At 38.0% G+C, this 16966-nt stretch overlaps 1 long non-coding RNA gene across 2 annotated transcripts in view; it reads right to left on the bottom strand.

The window, feature by feature from the left end:
• Positions 1–16652, bottom strand: part of LOC101927182 (uncharacterized) — a 204657-nt gene extending 188005 nt beyond the window's left edge. Inside the window, exon 1 of one of the 2 annotated variants that reach the window (XR_001754611.2) lies at positions 16401–16652. This is a non-coding gene — a long non-coding RNA (uncharacterized LOC101927182). The remainder of the gene's footprint in view (positions 1–16400) is intronic. The other variant, XR_001754609.2, reaches the window with a different exon arrangement.
• Between the last annotated feature and the right edge of the window lie 314 nt (positions 16653–16966).

Below are 16966 nucleotides of genomic sequence, written 5' to 3'. Positions count from 1 at the left end.
TGCAACCTCCACCTCCCAGAGTCAAGGGATTCTTTTGCCTCAGTCTCCCAAGTAGCTGGGGACCACAGGGGTGTTCCACCATCCCCAGCTGATTTTTGTATTTTTAGTAGAGATGGGGTTTCACCATGTTGGCCAGGCTGGTCTCTAACTCCTGTTGTAGAAGCTGCAGCAGGTTATCCAGAAGATCTAGCTAAGATCATCAATGAAGGTGACTACACTAAATGACAGATTTTCAGTGCAGATGAAACAGCCTTCTATTGGAAGAAGATGTCATCTAGGACTTTCACAGCTAGAGAGAAGTCAATGCCTGCTTTCAAACTTCTAAGGAATGGGTGACTCTCTAGTTAGGGGCTAATACAACTGATGACTTTAAGTTGAAGCCAGTACTCATGTGCCATTTCAAAAATCCAAGGGCCCTTAAGAACCATGCTAAATCTACTCTGTCTGGGCTCCATAAATGGGACAACAAAGCCTGGATGACAGCACATCTGTTTACAGCATGGTTTACAAATATTTTAAGCCCACTGTTGAGATTTGCTCCTCAGAAATAAAAGATTCCTTTCAAAATATTACTGCTTATTGACAATGTACCTGGTCACCCAAGAGTGTTGATAGGGATGTACAAGGGTATTAGTGTTTTTTTCATGCCTAATAACACAGCATCCATTCTGCGGCCCATGAATCGAGAAGCAATTTCCGTTTTCAAGTCTTATTATTTAAGAAATACATTTTATAAGGCTATAGCTGCCATAGTGATTCCTCTGATGGATCTGGGCAAAGTAAATTGAAAATCTTCTGGAAAGGGTTCACCATTCTAGGTACCATTAAGAATATTCATGATTCATGGGAGGAAGTCAAAATGTCAACATTAACAGGAATTTCCCAGAAGTTGATTCCTACTCTCATGAATGACTTCGAAAGGTTCAAGACTTCAGTGGAGGAAGTCACTGCAGATGTCGTGGAAATAGCAAAACAACTAGAATTATAAACGGAGCCTGAAGATGTGACTGAAATGCTGCAATGTCATGATAAAACTTTAACAAATGCGGAGTTGCTTGTATAGGTAAGAAAAAAATTGCTTTTTTTTTTTCTTTTGCAAGGGAATCTACTCCTGGTGGAGATGTTGTGAACATTGTTGAAATTGCAACAAAGGATTTAGTTTATTACATAAACTCAGTTGAAAAACAAGCAGCAGGGTTTGAGAGGATTGACTACAATTTTAAAAGAAGTTTTACTGTGGGTAAAATGCTATCAAACAGCGATACATGCTACAGAGAAATCTTTCAGGAAAAGAAGAGTCAATCACTGCAGCAAGCTTCATTGTTGTCTTATGTCAAGAAATTGCCACAGCCACCCAACCTTCAGCAACCAGCGCCTTGATCAGTCAGCAGCCATCAACATCAAGGCAAGACTTCCCACCAACAAAAAAGATTACAACTTGCTGAAGTCTCAGATGACCATTAGCATTTTTTGGCAAAAAAGTATTTTAATTACGTACGTACATTTTTAGACATAATGCTATTACATACTTCACAGACTACAGTATAGTGTAAATATAACTTTTTTAACCCCTGGAAACCAACAAATGTGTGTGACTCACTTCATTGTGATATTAACTTCATTAAAACATTTCCTTTATTGCCATATTTTCTTCATTGCAGTGGTCTGGAACCAAACCTGCAAGATCTCTAAGATATGCTCATAGTTCATTATGCTTAGATCCAGTATTTATACTCAGGCCTGCCTAGTTTCAAAAGCCCATGTATTTCTTATTGCACAATGTAGTAATAAGTTTCTGGACCATTGTGAGGTATTATATGGATGTAGCTGTCATCCAGACCAGCCACTAGAGCTCTAGGGTGGACTGTTAAAGGGTCTCCCCCAGCAGTGGCAGTTAGTGCTGTGTGAGTGGGTGAGCTATCTGAGGATAATGCCTAGAAAGCAAAAAGTAGAAAGGGAAGTACAGAATCATGGGGAAAGACACCATGGAGCAGCAGAAGAAACAGCGGCCAGCAGAAGTCAGAGTGGGGATCCAGTTAGAGAGCTGAGAGACCTGAGAGCCACAAAACCAAAAAAGAGAGAGATTCAAGAAAAGAAGGGCTGCCACTATTTGGAAATCTTGTTACAGTAGTCAGAACACTTTTGTATGTGAGTGAGAGAAACCTCAACTCAAACTAGCATGAGAAGGAAGGAAGGAAGGAAGGAAGAGAGAGAGAAAGAAAAAGAAAGAGAGAGAGAAAGAAAGAAAGAAAGCAAGAAAGAAAGGAAGGAAGGAAGGAAGGAAGGAAGGAAGGAAGGAAGGAAGGAAAGAAGGAAAGAAAGAAAGAAAGAAAGAAAGAAAGAAAGAAAGAAAGAAAGGAAGGAAGGGAGAGAGAAAGAAAGAAAAAGAAAGAGAGAGAGAAAGAAAGAAAAAGAAAGAGAGAGAGAAAAAGAAAAAGAAAGAAAGAAGGAAGGGAAGGAAGGAAGGAGAAAAGAAAAGAAGAAAAAAGAAAGAAAAAGAGAGGAAGGAAGGGAGTGAAAGAGAGAGAGAGAAAGAAGGAAGGAAAGAGAGAGAAAGAAAGAGAAAGAGACAAAAGAAGTAAAGAAAGAGGGAGGGAGGGAGGAAGGAAGGAAGGAAGGAAGGAGGGAGGGAGGGAAGGGAGAAAAGGGAGGGGAGGAAGGGAGAATCTAGGGAGAAGGATCCTGAGGTAGCTCAAGGATGCAAAGCAGAGTTTTAGGAATACAGGCAGATAGGAGACCTCAGTAACTGAAAACCAACTTACCTCCCCCTCTTCTCCCCCTCCCTTCCCTCTCCCCCTCCCCTCCCCCTTCCCCACTCCCTCCCCTTCTCCCTCTGCCTCTCCTTTTCCCTCTTCCCCTCTCCCTGCAGACAGACTCTCTCCAAGAAGCAGAGAATTTAGTCACCAGCAATCATAGATTCACACCCTTCTAGCTCCATGAAACAGACAAGAGTGACCTCCCTGCTAGCTCAAATTAGAAAAAATTCCTGGAGAGCACATGTGCACAACGTGCAGGTTTGTTACATATGTATACATGTACCATGTTGGTGTGCTGCACCCATTAACTCGTCATCTATATTAGGTATATCTCCTAATGCTTTCCCTCCCCCCTCCCCTGACCCCACAACAGGCCCTTGTGTGTGATGTTCCCCTTCCTGTGTCCAAGTGTTCTCATTGTTCAGTTCCCACCTATGAGTGAGAACATGCGGTGTTTGGTTTTTTGTCCTTGCGATAGTTTGCTGAGAATGATGGTACCCTAGAACTTAAAGTATAATTTAAAAAAAAAATATATATATATATATATAAAGTTTTGTTAATATTGTGAGGAGATATTTGGCCTTTATATAGGTAAAAGCTTGTGGAAGGATGAGAGGTATATGGGAGGTAGATGGTGAGGAACTGATACCTGAAGAGTTTGTATTGCAAAGAATGCAAAATTTAACTGACTAAACCACAAACAAATAAATAACCAGTATCAATTCATTTACAAAAAAAAAGAAAAGAAAAAAGAAAAAATTCCTGGACAAAGACTCTGATTTCTCCAACTGTGGCCATTTCTACCATGAAGTCATCATGGCGGCTGGGGATGGAATACTCAGGCTGGACCACTGTAGTTAAGAGGCAGAGCCTGTTCTCAAGAGAAAGGTGCAGGAGGAAGCACACCGGGAGAGGCAATGAGAGTTTCCACAAAAGTTACAGTTGAGGAAGGGCTGAGAAGTTTTTGTGTCAAGGAGCGAACTGCTGCGGGTGTCCCCTCTGCTGCCTCACTTTCCACTACAGCCAGCTGGCCACCCATATCCCATATATCCACCTTCACCCCCTGCTGGGGGCAAACGTCTCAGAATCCAAATTCCACCCTGTTTTTGACTGTCTTGGTCACCCAGTCTCTCACCTGGATCTTCCGGTCATACAAAGATCTCTCACCAGCCCTCAAACCCCATCTCATAGTCTAATGAGTCTATGAGTCACAGATATCCCCCAAGCTGCCCATAGTCTCTCCCCATTTCCCAAATTGGGCCTCAGACTTAGCCTGGAACTTTGAAACCTGTCCTATGCTCAGGCTTTGCATGTGCCCCTCATGTTTATTTACTGCCTGTTCCTGACCTGTGTCCTGTACATGCTCCCAATCAGCCCTGTTCTCTTTATCCCAGCTCAGGTTGACCTTGATCAGCAGCCTCCAGAGCTTGCCAGCCACCTGACTCTAAGCCACTTTTCACCCTAGTTCACCTCCTCACCCTGTGTCTGGGCCCAGCATGACAATGGCCCCATTACAGAGCCAGCTATGAAGGTTTGCCAAGAAGAGATGAGGGCTCTCAGGCATGGGAGTTTCTCAAGCACACGTAAACAATACCCCACCTAACTTCCCCACCCGCAGAGACCTGTCCAAATGAACAGTAAAATCCAAACTCAGAAGAAACAGCCCCAACAAGGCTAGACACCAGAAGGTTTTCCATTTGAGGTCAGCTTCCTTACCTCCTTCAAGTCTTTGCTCATCATCTTGTCAGTGGACTGGTGGAGCTATCCTGATCACCTGTTTAAATTAGCACCAATCTCACCCCCTCCCACCACCATTCCTGATCCTCCCCTTTCCTGCTCTATGTTTATATCAGCTTATAAAATACTACATAACGTATGGCATATTACGTTTGTTTTTTGTCATCTCTCTCCTCTTCTAACTCCTGTTAGAATCTGAGTTCCATAAGAGTAGGGGTAATTAGGATGGCTGCTGTTAAAAAAATGGAAAACAACAAATGTTGGTGAGTATGCGAACAAATTGGAACCCCTATGTGTTGTTAGTAGAAGTGTAAAATGGTACAACTACTGTGGAAAACAACAGGGTGGTTCCTCAAAAAATTAAAAATAGAACTACCATATGATCTAGCAATTTTACTTCTGGGTATGTACCCAAAAGAAATAAAAGCAGGGTCTCTAAGAGATATTTGTACACCCATGTTCATAGCAACATTATTCACAATCGCTGGAAGATAGAAGCAACTTATGTGTTTATTGATAAATGAATAAACAAAATGTGGCATATACATACAATAGAATGTTAGCCTTAAAAAGGAAGGAAATTCTGACACATCCTAAAACATGGATGAACCTTGAAAACATTATGCTCAGTGAAGCCAGACACAAAAGGACAAATTCTGTATGATTTCATGCATATGAGGTACCCAGAGTAGTCTAATCCATAGAGGTAAAAAGTAAAGTGGTCGTTTCCAGGGGCTGGGAAGAAGAGAAAATACTTAAGTTGTTGTTTAATGGGTACAGAGTTTCAGTTTTGAAAGATGAAAAGAATTTTGGAGATTGGATGCCTACCAGTGTGAATGTGCTTAACACTATTGAACTGTGTGCTTAAGAGTGGTTAATATGGTAAATTTTATGTTACATATATTTTACCGCTATCGCAAATAATTTTTTTTAAAAAAACAGGGGTATTTATCTATCTGTTCATTCACTGATGGATCACAAGTACCTAGAAGAATACCTGGAAAATAATAGGTATTCAATAAGTATTTGCTAAATAAATACATGCCAGAAACTTCAAGAGTCCTCATAGATACTGAGGAGATAGGACCATACAGAAAGCACAGAGTTTGAAATTCTCTCTCCAAACAGAGAGTGATCCATCTGGGGAGAAAGTAAATGAGTCTCCGAAAAGACTTTCAGAGATACCTCAATCCTGGCTCATTTTAGGCAGTATAGCTTTTTCTCGGTACAGTTGGGCAAAAAAGCGTTAAAAGTCTGAAAAGTGAAAAAGTAAAACGCAGTAACAAATTTTTAAATAATGGAAGAAAAAAGAATAAAACATTATACTGAATAAAACATTCAGTGATACTGATTTTTAAAAATACTAGCTTTCCCAGAATTAAGGAGAAAAAGACAATGACAAACATTATGATAAAGAAGATAATAGAAATGGAGGACAGAAAATGGCAAAATGCAACATAAAGATAACTTATTCATTTTCAAGAGATACCAGAACAGAACAGAAGCAATAAGAAGAAAAAGAAGAGAATGTTTTCCCAGACTAGAGAAATGATCTGTAATAAGATTATAAGGATATCTACATTTCAGATATCTGATTTCAAGCATCAATGAAGAGATTAATATCTAGACACAGTCTGGAAAAGTTTGCCACTTAAGAATTTTAGACCCGGAAAACTCGCCTTTTTTAGTGTAGAAGCAAAAACAAAACCATTTTCAACAAAGACTTTGAAAATGTGCCACCATGCATCCTTCTGGAAATTAAAAAACCACTTGAACACTAAATAGTCAAGACATGATATAGTTAACAACTCAACTTTGGGGAAATCAAGGTATTAAAAGACAATGGTGAGTTCTGCAATCAGCCAAAAAGGTGATACGTCTAAGTAATGCTTGTAAATCTGTTTATAAAACAATGCACATGTCAAAAATTATTCTTAAGAAAAGATTACCTAATGCAAGACACTAGATTGTGTTCATAAAACCCAAGAGGTTGAGGATAAGAGAATAAAAATATGCTCACACTGCATATTAAGGAGAAAAAACTGAAAAATTAATTTCATGTTTAGTTATAAAAATTTAAAAAGCAACAGTTACAGAATGTTTTTGAAAATCTTAAATAAACCCACTACTCTGATTAAAATATATCTTCCAAAATGGCATTTTTTGAAGTAAATATAGTTCTCTAGTTTAAAACAATGCAAAGAAAAACAATGAGGCATAAAAGTTTAAAACATGAAACAAAGCTAAGGAAATAATATCAAATAGTTTTAACAGTAAATGCCAATATGTAAAATTCCACTATTAAAAGAAAAAAATTCCAAAATTAAGTCAAGGACAAAATCCAACGATACAGTTTTCAAGGACACAAGTGAAGTATCTTTCTATGTTAAATATGAAAAGGGCAAATGTGTATTAGATAAATGCAAATTTTAAAAGCATAAGTACAACATTCATATCAGATAAAGTACCTTCAAAGCAAAAACATATTACACAGGACAAGAAAGATTGTTACATATTGATAAAGTCTAGGTTTCATAATGAAGATTCAACTGTCATATCTTAGCCTGTGTTCTCTCAGAAGAGCATGAGACAAAGACTTAAATACAAGGACACATGGAACATTAATTACAAAAATTGACCATATCCTGCACAAAAGCAAGAGTCAGCAAATTTCAAAGGATTTACATCATGCAAAGTAAGGTCTCTGGCTACAGTAGAATTAAGTTTGAAATCAGGAACAAATAATAGCAAAAATAATTGCCATTTGTTTGGGAATTTTTTAAACTGAAATACACTTCAAACAACCCATCAGTCAAAGAACAAATGATTAAGGAAATGAGAAAATATTTTTATGTGATTTATAATGAAAATAAAACATATTAAAATTTGAGAGACATAACTAAAGTCATGCTTATATTAGAAAGAAAATACAAGCTGAAAATCAGTAAACAAAGCATTTAGTCTTAAAAATTTAGAAAAGGAATAGCAAATTGAGCCCGAAAAAAAAAAGGAAGCAAATGAGAAAGTTAAGAGCAAAAACTAATGAAACTGAAAAGTAGAATGCAACAGAGAGCCTCAAGGTAGAGAAAGTTTTCTTAAATCATACATAGAAATTACTAACCAAATAAGAAAAAAAGTGTGATAAGTTGGACTTGATTATAATTAAGAATTGTACTCATCAAAAAATACCATTAAGATTACAAAAAGGAAAGTCAAGAGAAGAAGTTATATAAATTAATAAGAAAAAAGACAGTCAACTCAATAGAAGAATGAGCAGGAGACTTAACTAGGTACTTTCCAAAAGAGAAAATCCTAATCTCCCCCCAGTCAAAAAAAGTATGTAAAAAGATGATTGATCTTCACCCAGTGCAGTGGCTCACACCTGTAATCCCAGCACTTTGGGAGGCCAAGGGGGGCGGATCATGAGGTCAGGAGTTTGAAACCTGCCTGGCCAACATAGTGAAACCCCGTCTCTATAAAAATACAAAAATTAGTTGGGCGTGATGACACATGCCTGTAGTCCCAGCTACTCGGGAGGCTGAGGAAGGAGAATTGCTTGAACCCGGGAGGTGGAAGTTGCAGTGAGCCGAGATTGCGCCACTGCATCCCAGCCTGGGTGACAAAGCGAGACTCCATCTCAAAAAAAAAAAAAAAAAAAAAAAGATGATTTATCTTATTAGTCATCAAAGATATACAAATCCAAACAACAAGATGCCACTACACAGCCACCAGCATGGCTAGAAATAAAAAGTCTGACCATGCCAAAGTGTTGGCAAGGATGGATGCAGTGGAAGCTCTCCTACAATGTTGGTGAAAGTGCACATGGATACAGCTACTTTGAAACAGTTTGTACTACACCACTGAAGTTAAACACACACAAAGCCTCTTACCCAGTAACTTCACCCCTAGTAATGCATGCTCACATGCATCAAGAAACATAAAAGAATGCTTGTAACAGCATTATTTATAATCATAAAAAACTGAAAACAAGCCATTCAACCCCATTTCACCATTTATTCATTATCAACTCATTAATCCCAAAGCTGAAGAGACCAATTAACAAAACAACCCATTAGTACTCAAATGAACAAATAAATGGTGGTATATGTGTGTAAAAGTATAAAAAATAAATTGCAGTATATTCATATAATAAAATAAACAGCAATTAAAATGAGTGAACTATGTCATAAGTCTCACAAAGATAATGTGAAACCAAATAAGCCAGAAAGACAAAAATAAACTATATTAATCCATTTCTATAAAGTTCAAAAAGCAAACAAAACTAAACTGTAGTGTTTAGGTACATATATGTAGCTGGCAAAATCAAAAGGAAAAGCAAGGAAGTAATTAACATAAAAATTAAGACAGTAGTTACTTTGAGGGGAGAGAGGAGCAGCAACCGAATAGAGGCATAAAGGCCATTTCTTGGAAGGCTAGCAATGATCTGCTTCTGCACCTGGGTAGTAAATACTAAAGTGCCTCTTTGTGATCAGTCATCAAACTATGAAGACAAAAATTAAAAATAAAAATAAATTTTAAAAAAATTTCCTATGGTATGTGACTAAATCTCTACTCAGGGACAAATTTACTTAATTCCATGTTTTACTATTAAACAAAAAGGAATATAAAATATTTGCTAAACTTAAAACTCAAATCTTAGCTATAAAATATTAGACAAACCATGCAATAATTTATTCAGCATGTATCTATTAAATGCCTACTCTATGTTTGACACATATAAATTAACAAAAATACAAACAAAAAGTAATGATTCAGAAAACTGAAAAACACACAACACATACACATATACACATCCTTCTGGTAAGTTTTTCACCATCAACAGAAAGTAACCTGTTGATTAACTGGGGATACAGTTTGCATTGTGAACTACAGTAACACAATTCATATTATATGGCAGATATTAAAATCTCACCCCTCACTGTAGCCATGCACTTTGCAATGTGACTTTTTAAGTCCTGTCATGAAGAGAGTGAGTCTATTTTGGCTTAATTGTGGCCAATAGAATATGGCAGAGATGACCTTGTACAGTTCCAAGCCTAGGTCTCAAGAAACCTTACTTCCTCTCCCTCTCTCTTAGAACCCTGCCATCATAATGTGAGCAAAGCCAGGCTAGCCTTCTAGAAAATCAGAGACCATGTGAAGTAGAGATAAGCCACTGAGTTGAGCCCACTCCTTGTTCAACCAGCCCTGAGCTGGCCTGGCAGCTGACTGCCCAGCCAAAACCAGAAGAATCTCCCAGCTGAACCCAGCCCCAGTCACCAAACCACAAAATCATGTTGAATTTTTTAAGGAACTACATTCTGAAGTGGTTTGTTATGCAGTAAAAGTTAACTGATATACATTATGGGGACCACCAATGGTTCAAAATTAGACAAGCTACTGAATGAGAATAAGAAGACCCAGCAGCCTGCTGTGAGTGCTCGAGTATTATCATAGGAATGTGTACTTTCATTTATCCTCACATTCTATGGTTCTTTTTTACTGTTGACTTTTATAAATTGTGCTGCAAGCAAAAGTGTAAGGTTAAGTTCAAAGTTGACTCAAGGAGAATAGGAGGTTCCTGCATGTGAGAATATAAGGACAAGTAAGGAGATATTTGAGTTTGTTTCTGTTGGTATTGATAAATCAATTTTTTCATTTTTCATTTGCAATGACAAAATATACCTGCAGAAATAAAAATAAATAAACCTTTATTATTGATATTTCTGTAGAAAAAATAATTTATTGTAGATCTGAAAGTGTCTAACTCCTAACCTTCTTTTGTCATATTGAAACAATTTTTTCATAATATAATCTTTCAAATGCAGTGCTTCTAACAGTATAATTGTTTTATACTAGAAAATACCGTAGAAAGAAACTAGGTAACATATATGAGCTTTTTCACATTAAGTAGTGAGTTTATTTTTACTCATAAGAAAGAATTAGGGATAATTCTCTGCTAATCAATTTGAAATCCTCAGTAAAGTAAATTTGGGTAATTTATATATTCCTAAAGAAGAGTTGAGAAATTGGACGACTCCAGCAAACCATTAATTGTGTAAGAAATATTTTTTAAAAGAGAGAGGACCTATATTCTCAGGATTAGAAGTACCAAAAACCAAATTTAAACTTACCTTGGGAATTTATTAGAAGGATAATGGGGCAACTCAAATAACTATAGGAATGAGATCCCCTCCCCAGAGCTGCGTGTCAAGGGCAGCTGCAGCCAGACACTCATGCCATCTGCACTCTCTCCACTGGGTGCAGTTTTCTGTATTAGATTCATTCTGTCCTTCACATGGCAAGGATCTAGCTGAGCTGTAATTCCTGACTTCTAGTCCTATGGCTCCCACAATCAAAAGGGGGCTTCTTTAGTCCCCTTACTTCCAAATCAAAAAATCCTTGAAAAGACTCAATCAGCTACAGCCAAGGGAGCAGACTCCCATAGAACATACACAACTACTGGGAGTTGCAAAATAACTAATGAAATATTATCATATGTAATTTAAATTAAAAAGCAAGAGATATTTCTATTCCGAGTTAGGATGCTCATTGTTACCTTAACATCATCCTAGAAGTGCTGGAAATATAAGGAAAAAGAGAAAGAAAAGGAGAGAGGAAGAAAAGGGAGAGAGGAAGAGAGAGAAAAATGAAAAAAAAAGAATGTTGAAAAATATTCAGAATCATAGTTATTGTAAATGATGCCAGTTTCTACTTAGAAAACACAAGTATCAACTCTAAAGTATTAGAACTAATAAAACAGTTCATTAAATTTGGCGGTTACAAAATACATATTAAAAATGAGTACCTTCCTATATACATGCCATAATCTGTAAAAAAAAAAAAAAAAAAAAAAAAAAAAGTGGAGGAAATTCTATTCATAGCTGTAACAACAATATAAAATCTCCAAGAATAAATTTAATTATCAACAAGTAAACATTTTATGAAGAACACATCCAAACCTTACCGAGGCCATAGAATATGGCCCCTTCCCTCCATAGAAGAGAAAGTGACAAAATGCTCCTGAGGGCAAGACTTAAATATATAAAAATATAAATTATGCCAAATCAATTATAAATTTAAAGCAGTTGATAAAATTGTAAGAACAACTCTGAAGTTTAGGGAATAAACATCTGAGAGAAGCCAAAAATTTAGAAAAAGAGGAAATATTGGCTGGAAGAATTAGAGACAGGGTAAATCGTCAAAAAGTAAAACCTTATATACAGTTTCAATTATAAAACCACTTGGGTACTGTACAAGATTAGACAGATCAATGAACACAATAAAAAGCCTTAGACATAAATATTTAGTATGTAATAATGGCAGCACTTTAAATCAATAGGAAAAGACTACATTAATAAGGATTGTTCAAATTATTTAACTACTTGAAAAGGAAAAATCCCAAGAATACTATCTTGTACTATTCACATACCCAAAAAAATCCCAGACGTATTAAAGATTTTTAAATACAGGAAATGAAACTACTAAAGTGTTAAATATGTAGTTTTTTTCAGTTGGCCTTTGAATAACACAAGTTTGAACTGCACAGGTCAACTTATACGTGAATGCTTTTCAACCAAATGTGGATTGAAAATACAGTATTTCAGGGATGAGAAACCCAGGTATACTGTTGAAGCAAACTGAATATGGTCTGAGAAGGACTCTGTGCTTCTCTATTTGAGTCCTTGTGGATGAACTGTAGCCTAGCTTAATAGTCAGACAAGATTGAGAACCTAACTTAGGAGCATGCGCCTGTAACGATAACTGAGTCTTGGCAAATCCCAGCAGCCGTGCTTCAAACACTCAGAGGACTAAGTGTTCAAACTGTGTTCAAATGAGGCAAACGCCAACCTGGAACCAATCCAGCTGTTTCTGTACCTCTCTGCCGATGTCTGTACGTCATTTCCTTTTTTGGTTTATAAATTTTCTTCCACCATGTGGCTGCGCTGGAGTCTCTGTGAATCTGCTGTGATTCTGGGGTCTGCCGATTCACAAATCATTCATTGCTCAATTAAACTCCTTTAAATTTAATTCAACTAAAGTTTCTCTTTTATCAATACAAAGGGCTGACTTTTGCATATTTTGGTATCCTGGAAGGTCAGACACCAATCCCCTGCATATATCAAGGGACAACACACACACACACACACGTGTGTGTGTTATATGTTATGTATATAAACACATATATATGTATGTTATATATACACACACATATACACACGTATATATACACACAGATATACACATCTATATGTGTAAATTAAAAACATCTATATGTGTATATGTGTGTGTATATATACACATATGTGTGTTTGTTTGTGTGTGTATATATATATATATATATATATATACACACACACACACACACAGAGAGAGAGAGAGAGAGAAATGTATATGTTTGAGTCCTAAGCAAGTAACCAAAGTAAGGAAAACCACCAGTAAAAACTAGATTGATTTTGCTATATAAAAATGTAATATTTTGGCCAAAGTGGCTCACACCTGTAATCCCAGCACTTTGAGAGGCCGAGGCAGGCAGATCACTTGAGGCCAGGAGTTCATGACCAGCCCAGCCAATATGGTGAAACCCCATCTCTCCTAAAAATAAAAAAAAAATTAGCCTGGCGTGGTGGCATGTGCCTGTAATCCCAGCTACTCGGGAGGCTGAGGCAGGAGAATCACTTGAACCCGGGAGGCGGAGGTTGCAGTGAGCTGAGATCACACCACTGCACTCCAGCTTGGGTGACAAGAGTGAAACTCTGTCTCAAAATATATATATATATAATATATATATAACATATTATTATATATAATATTTCAATATGTCAAGAAACATAATGAAGAAAATTGGAAGGCAAAAGACAAATGAGAAAATAATTGAAATAACTGCAATGTGCTTACCAGAAAAAGGGTTAATATTCTTAAATTTTAAAGACCTCTTGCAAATTAGTAAGAAAGGAATAGGCAGTGGCAAATTGAACAGAGTATATAAATAAAGAAATCATGAAACAAATGACCAAAAATATATGGAAAAATGTTTACCCTTACTACTAAACAAACCAATGAAAATTAAAACAACAATGTGATGCCATTTCTCATTCAGTGAATTGAGCAAAAACACTTAAAGTCCAGTCCTGTGCACAATGTCAGGATATGGGAATTCTCAAGACTTATGAGGGTGCAACTTAATGGTACTTTCCAGAAGGCAGCTAAGCAATGCATGTTACAAGATTTTAAAATCTTTGTACACTATTTTTTCTACTTTTATAAAATATATAAAATTTTTCATTAAAAATAAGTTTTAAAATTCATATGCTTTTAGCTAGTCATTTTACCTGGAAGAATTTATCTAAAGAAAGTAATAAAGAATGTGCATAAAGATTTATGAAGATATTATGGGTGGCGATGGTAATGGTGAAGATAATAGCGATTTGAGATGCTTTTGCTTCAAATGCAAAGAATGTCTTTGACTTCTTATATCTGCATCATCCGTACCCCCCAAATGGCTAAATTAAAAAAAGAAAAATCCTTCCTATTAGGCAGAGACCCCAAAAGCTTCCAACACTAATATTATCCCAAGATCCATTTGTATAATAAAACCAGTATTTTATATATTCATCATCCTTGAACATCTTAGAAATCTCTCCTAAAATTTAGTATCATAAAGAAATGACAATTGGTACCTTTTCTATTTCTTTGAGATAATAGTAATTACCTAGTAAAGTCCTCCTTGGCCTCCATCCTTTCTCAAAAGCCTGTGTCTTGACCTTTCATAGCTCAGGGGTAGTGGGGCAGGGAAAGCGGAAATCATGTGGGATAGGACCTTCTTATTAATATCAGGCTAGAGCCAAGTCCCAGTCTCTGTGGTTCTAGTTTGACCTATCGAGACCCCTAAACTGCTGAAGTTACCCTTATTTACATTTACTCAGATGTCTTATAAAAAAAATAAAAAGACAAGATTAACTAAGAGCCCTGAGTTCATAGGTTGATATACAATAACAATAAATGCTTATTTAAAATGGCAAATGAGGCCTTTGAAACATAATGAAAGCTCACATAACAATCAAATAAAACACGGTCAATTGTGACAGACTGGGCACCATTGTTCTTGGCTAAGTGGAAATTTAGAAGTGTTAAATATCATTAGAAGGCTTTATTCTTTTTCTAGGAAAGGGTAGAAATTGATAGAAACTCTATATTGTCTGAAAATCCTTTCTGGGAGAAACCCTGTTCCAAGAGAACCATCTATGTCTCCTTCTGGGCTATCTCCACCTTGGCTCATGTCTGGGAGCTTGGATAGATAGTTCTGGGGTGGTCTTTATAAAATCAAACCAGCTTCTGTGTAGATGAGTGCAGAGAGCAAAGCTTCTCAATGTTTATTAGAGTGGGCTCTAAAGCCACCCTGAACCTTTACACCAGCCGACTGCCTCCAATACAAGCAGCCAGACTGTATGAGATTGATAAAATTAAATGCTTTCTGGCCTTCTCCAAAGGCTAAGGAAAAATATAGGTTTTGAGCAGCCCTTGGAGGGGTGCCATACCAGGGTCATCTTGGATTTCTCCCAAGAATGACTGGGAGGAAACAGCTGGGATGGGATTCCCAACAGAAGAGATAGAATACCAGATGGCCAGACAGAAGGAAGATAGATTCGGTCAAGGAGAGTTAAGACTCAGCTTTGAACAGCTGCCAATCCCAGAGACTAGTAACACCAGCTCATGACAGTACCCGCCAAGTACAACCTTTCCTGACCATACGTCTCCTCTCTTCTCAATCCCAGCCCTGGAGAAACCAGAAGTAACTATTGGTGGGATGGGGAGGGGAGGAAGGAAAGAAGCCAACGCAGATGGAAGAGAGAAGCTTTAACTTCTCCCCTTCCTGCAACTAGGATCCTGTATGTGACCCAGCATTGGCCAAGCAGATGCTCCTACCTGGGATGCTGAACCCTAAGGAAGTGAAGCAAAGATGCATTTACAATTGAGAATGCATTCACAGCAGCAGTAACCAGCAGCATCATCCTAACCAGAATGTCCCTGTGGTCCCTGCTGCCCAGCTTCCTGCCTGGTCCTCAGCCTTCCCAATTCTATGAGCCATACCCAATATCCCACCAATGAATTCCTTTTCCACTTAAGTGAGCTGGGACTGTTTCCTATTGCTTGCAACTGAAACCACCTCTTTCATATCCAGCCATGCTATTTTTATCTTTTTGACTCTTACCTCTCAGATACCACTGTTTTCCTACAGAGGCAGAGCAACTTGAGACTGTAACAGCCAGGGTCCTTGCATGAAGCATAGACAAACTCATACTGGGATCACATGAACAGGACTTAATAAAAGAACCATTTGCAAAGGTGGGGGCAGGTTATAGGGAAGCTTTCAGGGACAGTGCAGTACCCCGGGATTAGTAACAATGTGGTCGTTATCTTTTCTAGGCTCAAAATGACGAGGAGAGAGAACAGATACCAGAACTGGAAGGAGAGAATTTCATAAAAGGAGCCACCTTGAGGGGAACATTTACCTGCCACTGAAAGGCACAGCCAGCCTGAGGCAATTCCTTCAGAGGAATAGATACCCTGAGCATACCCTCCTCCCTCCAAACCTCTGATCTCCTGCCAAGGGTCCCTGTTGACTGGACCCACCTAGCTGAAGCTAAAGGGCACAGGAACCTGCTCATGCAATCGATCAGAGTCAGCCTCCTGGGAAGAGAGCAGAGCACAGCAGAGAGACAGCAAAGAATAGCTCTGGGTGGTGAAGAGGCACTTGAAAGGCACTTGACACAACCACCTAAGACAAAAAGAGCTGCAGGTGATCCTCACTTGCCCACGGGGATATTCACCTAACCTGGCTTCTAGCATCCCAGTCCTATCCCAGACAACTCCAGGTTAGAACTCCGCCAAGACAAAAGAACTTACTTACAAGGCGTTGGGGTTCTCTGCCTTTGCTTCCTTTATCTGTCCCGGGACTGCTTTGCAAGAGCACCTACTTCTGCATCGTGGTCTCCATTACTTCCTTCAGCCTTTCCCACCATTCACAGTTCCATTCCTTCTTCTATAGCATGAAGACGCCTGCACACACAGCTGAAACATTTTCAGTTGAGGACAAATCTAAAAGTTTTGTTTCTGCCAAAAAGCCAGGGGATATAAAACCACAGTGAGACATGGAGGCAGCCAAGAGACATAAACCTCAGATCACAGGGCACTCAGATCCAAGCAACAAAGCGGAGCAACAAGCCATGTGAGCCATTTGTCATTCTGCAGGCAATTGTCTGTTGGCATTTTTCTGAGAATATGAGAGGAAAACAAGATTCCCTTGAAAACATAGTTCAGAAAAAGTCCGTACTTGACAATATGAAGACCGTAAGCAATTGCAGATGGAGAGACTGAGAATTCTTTGAAACTACAGAAGTATAAAAGGCTTTGATACAGAGAAACAACCCGTATAACATAGACCATCATGAGATGCAGAAGCAGATTGGGGA

Source organism: Homo sapiens, chromosome 20 (genome assembly GCF_000001405.40).
Source record: "Homo sapiens chromosome 20, GRCh38.p14 Primary Assembly".
NCBI lineage: Eukaryota > Metazoa > Chordata > Mammalia > Primates > Hominidae > Homo > Homo sapiens.
The sequence above is the reverse complement of the archived record's forward strand: the minus strand, read 5'-3'. Positions and strand labels throughout refer to the sequence as shown.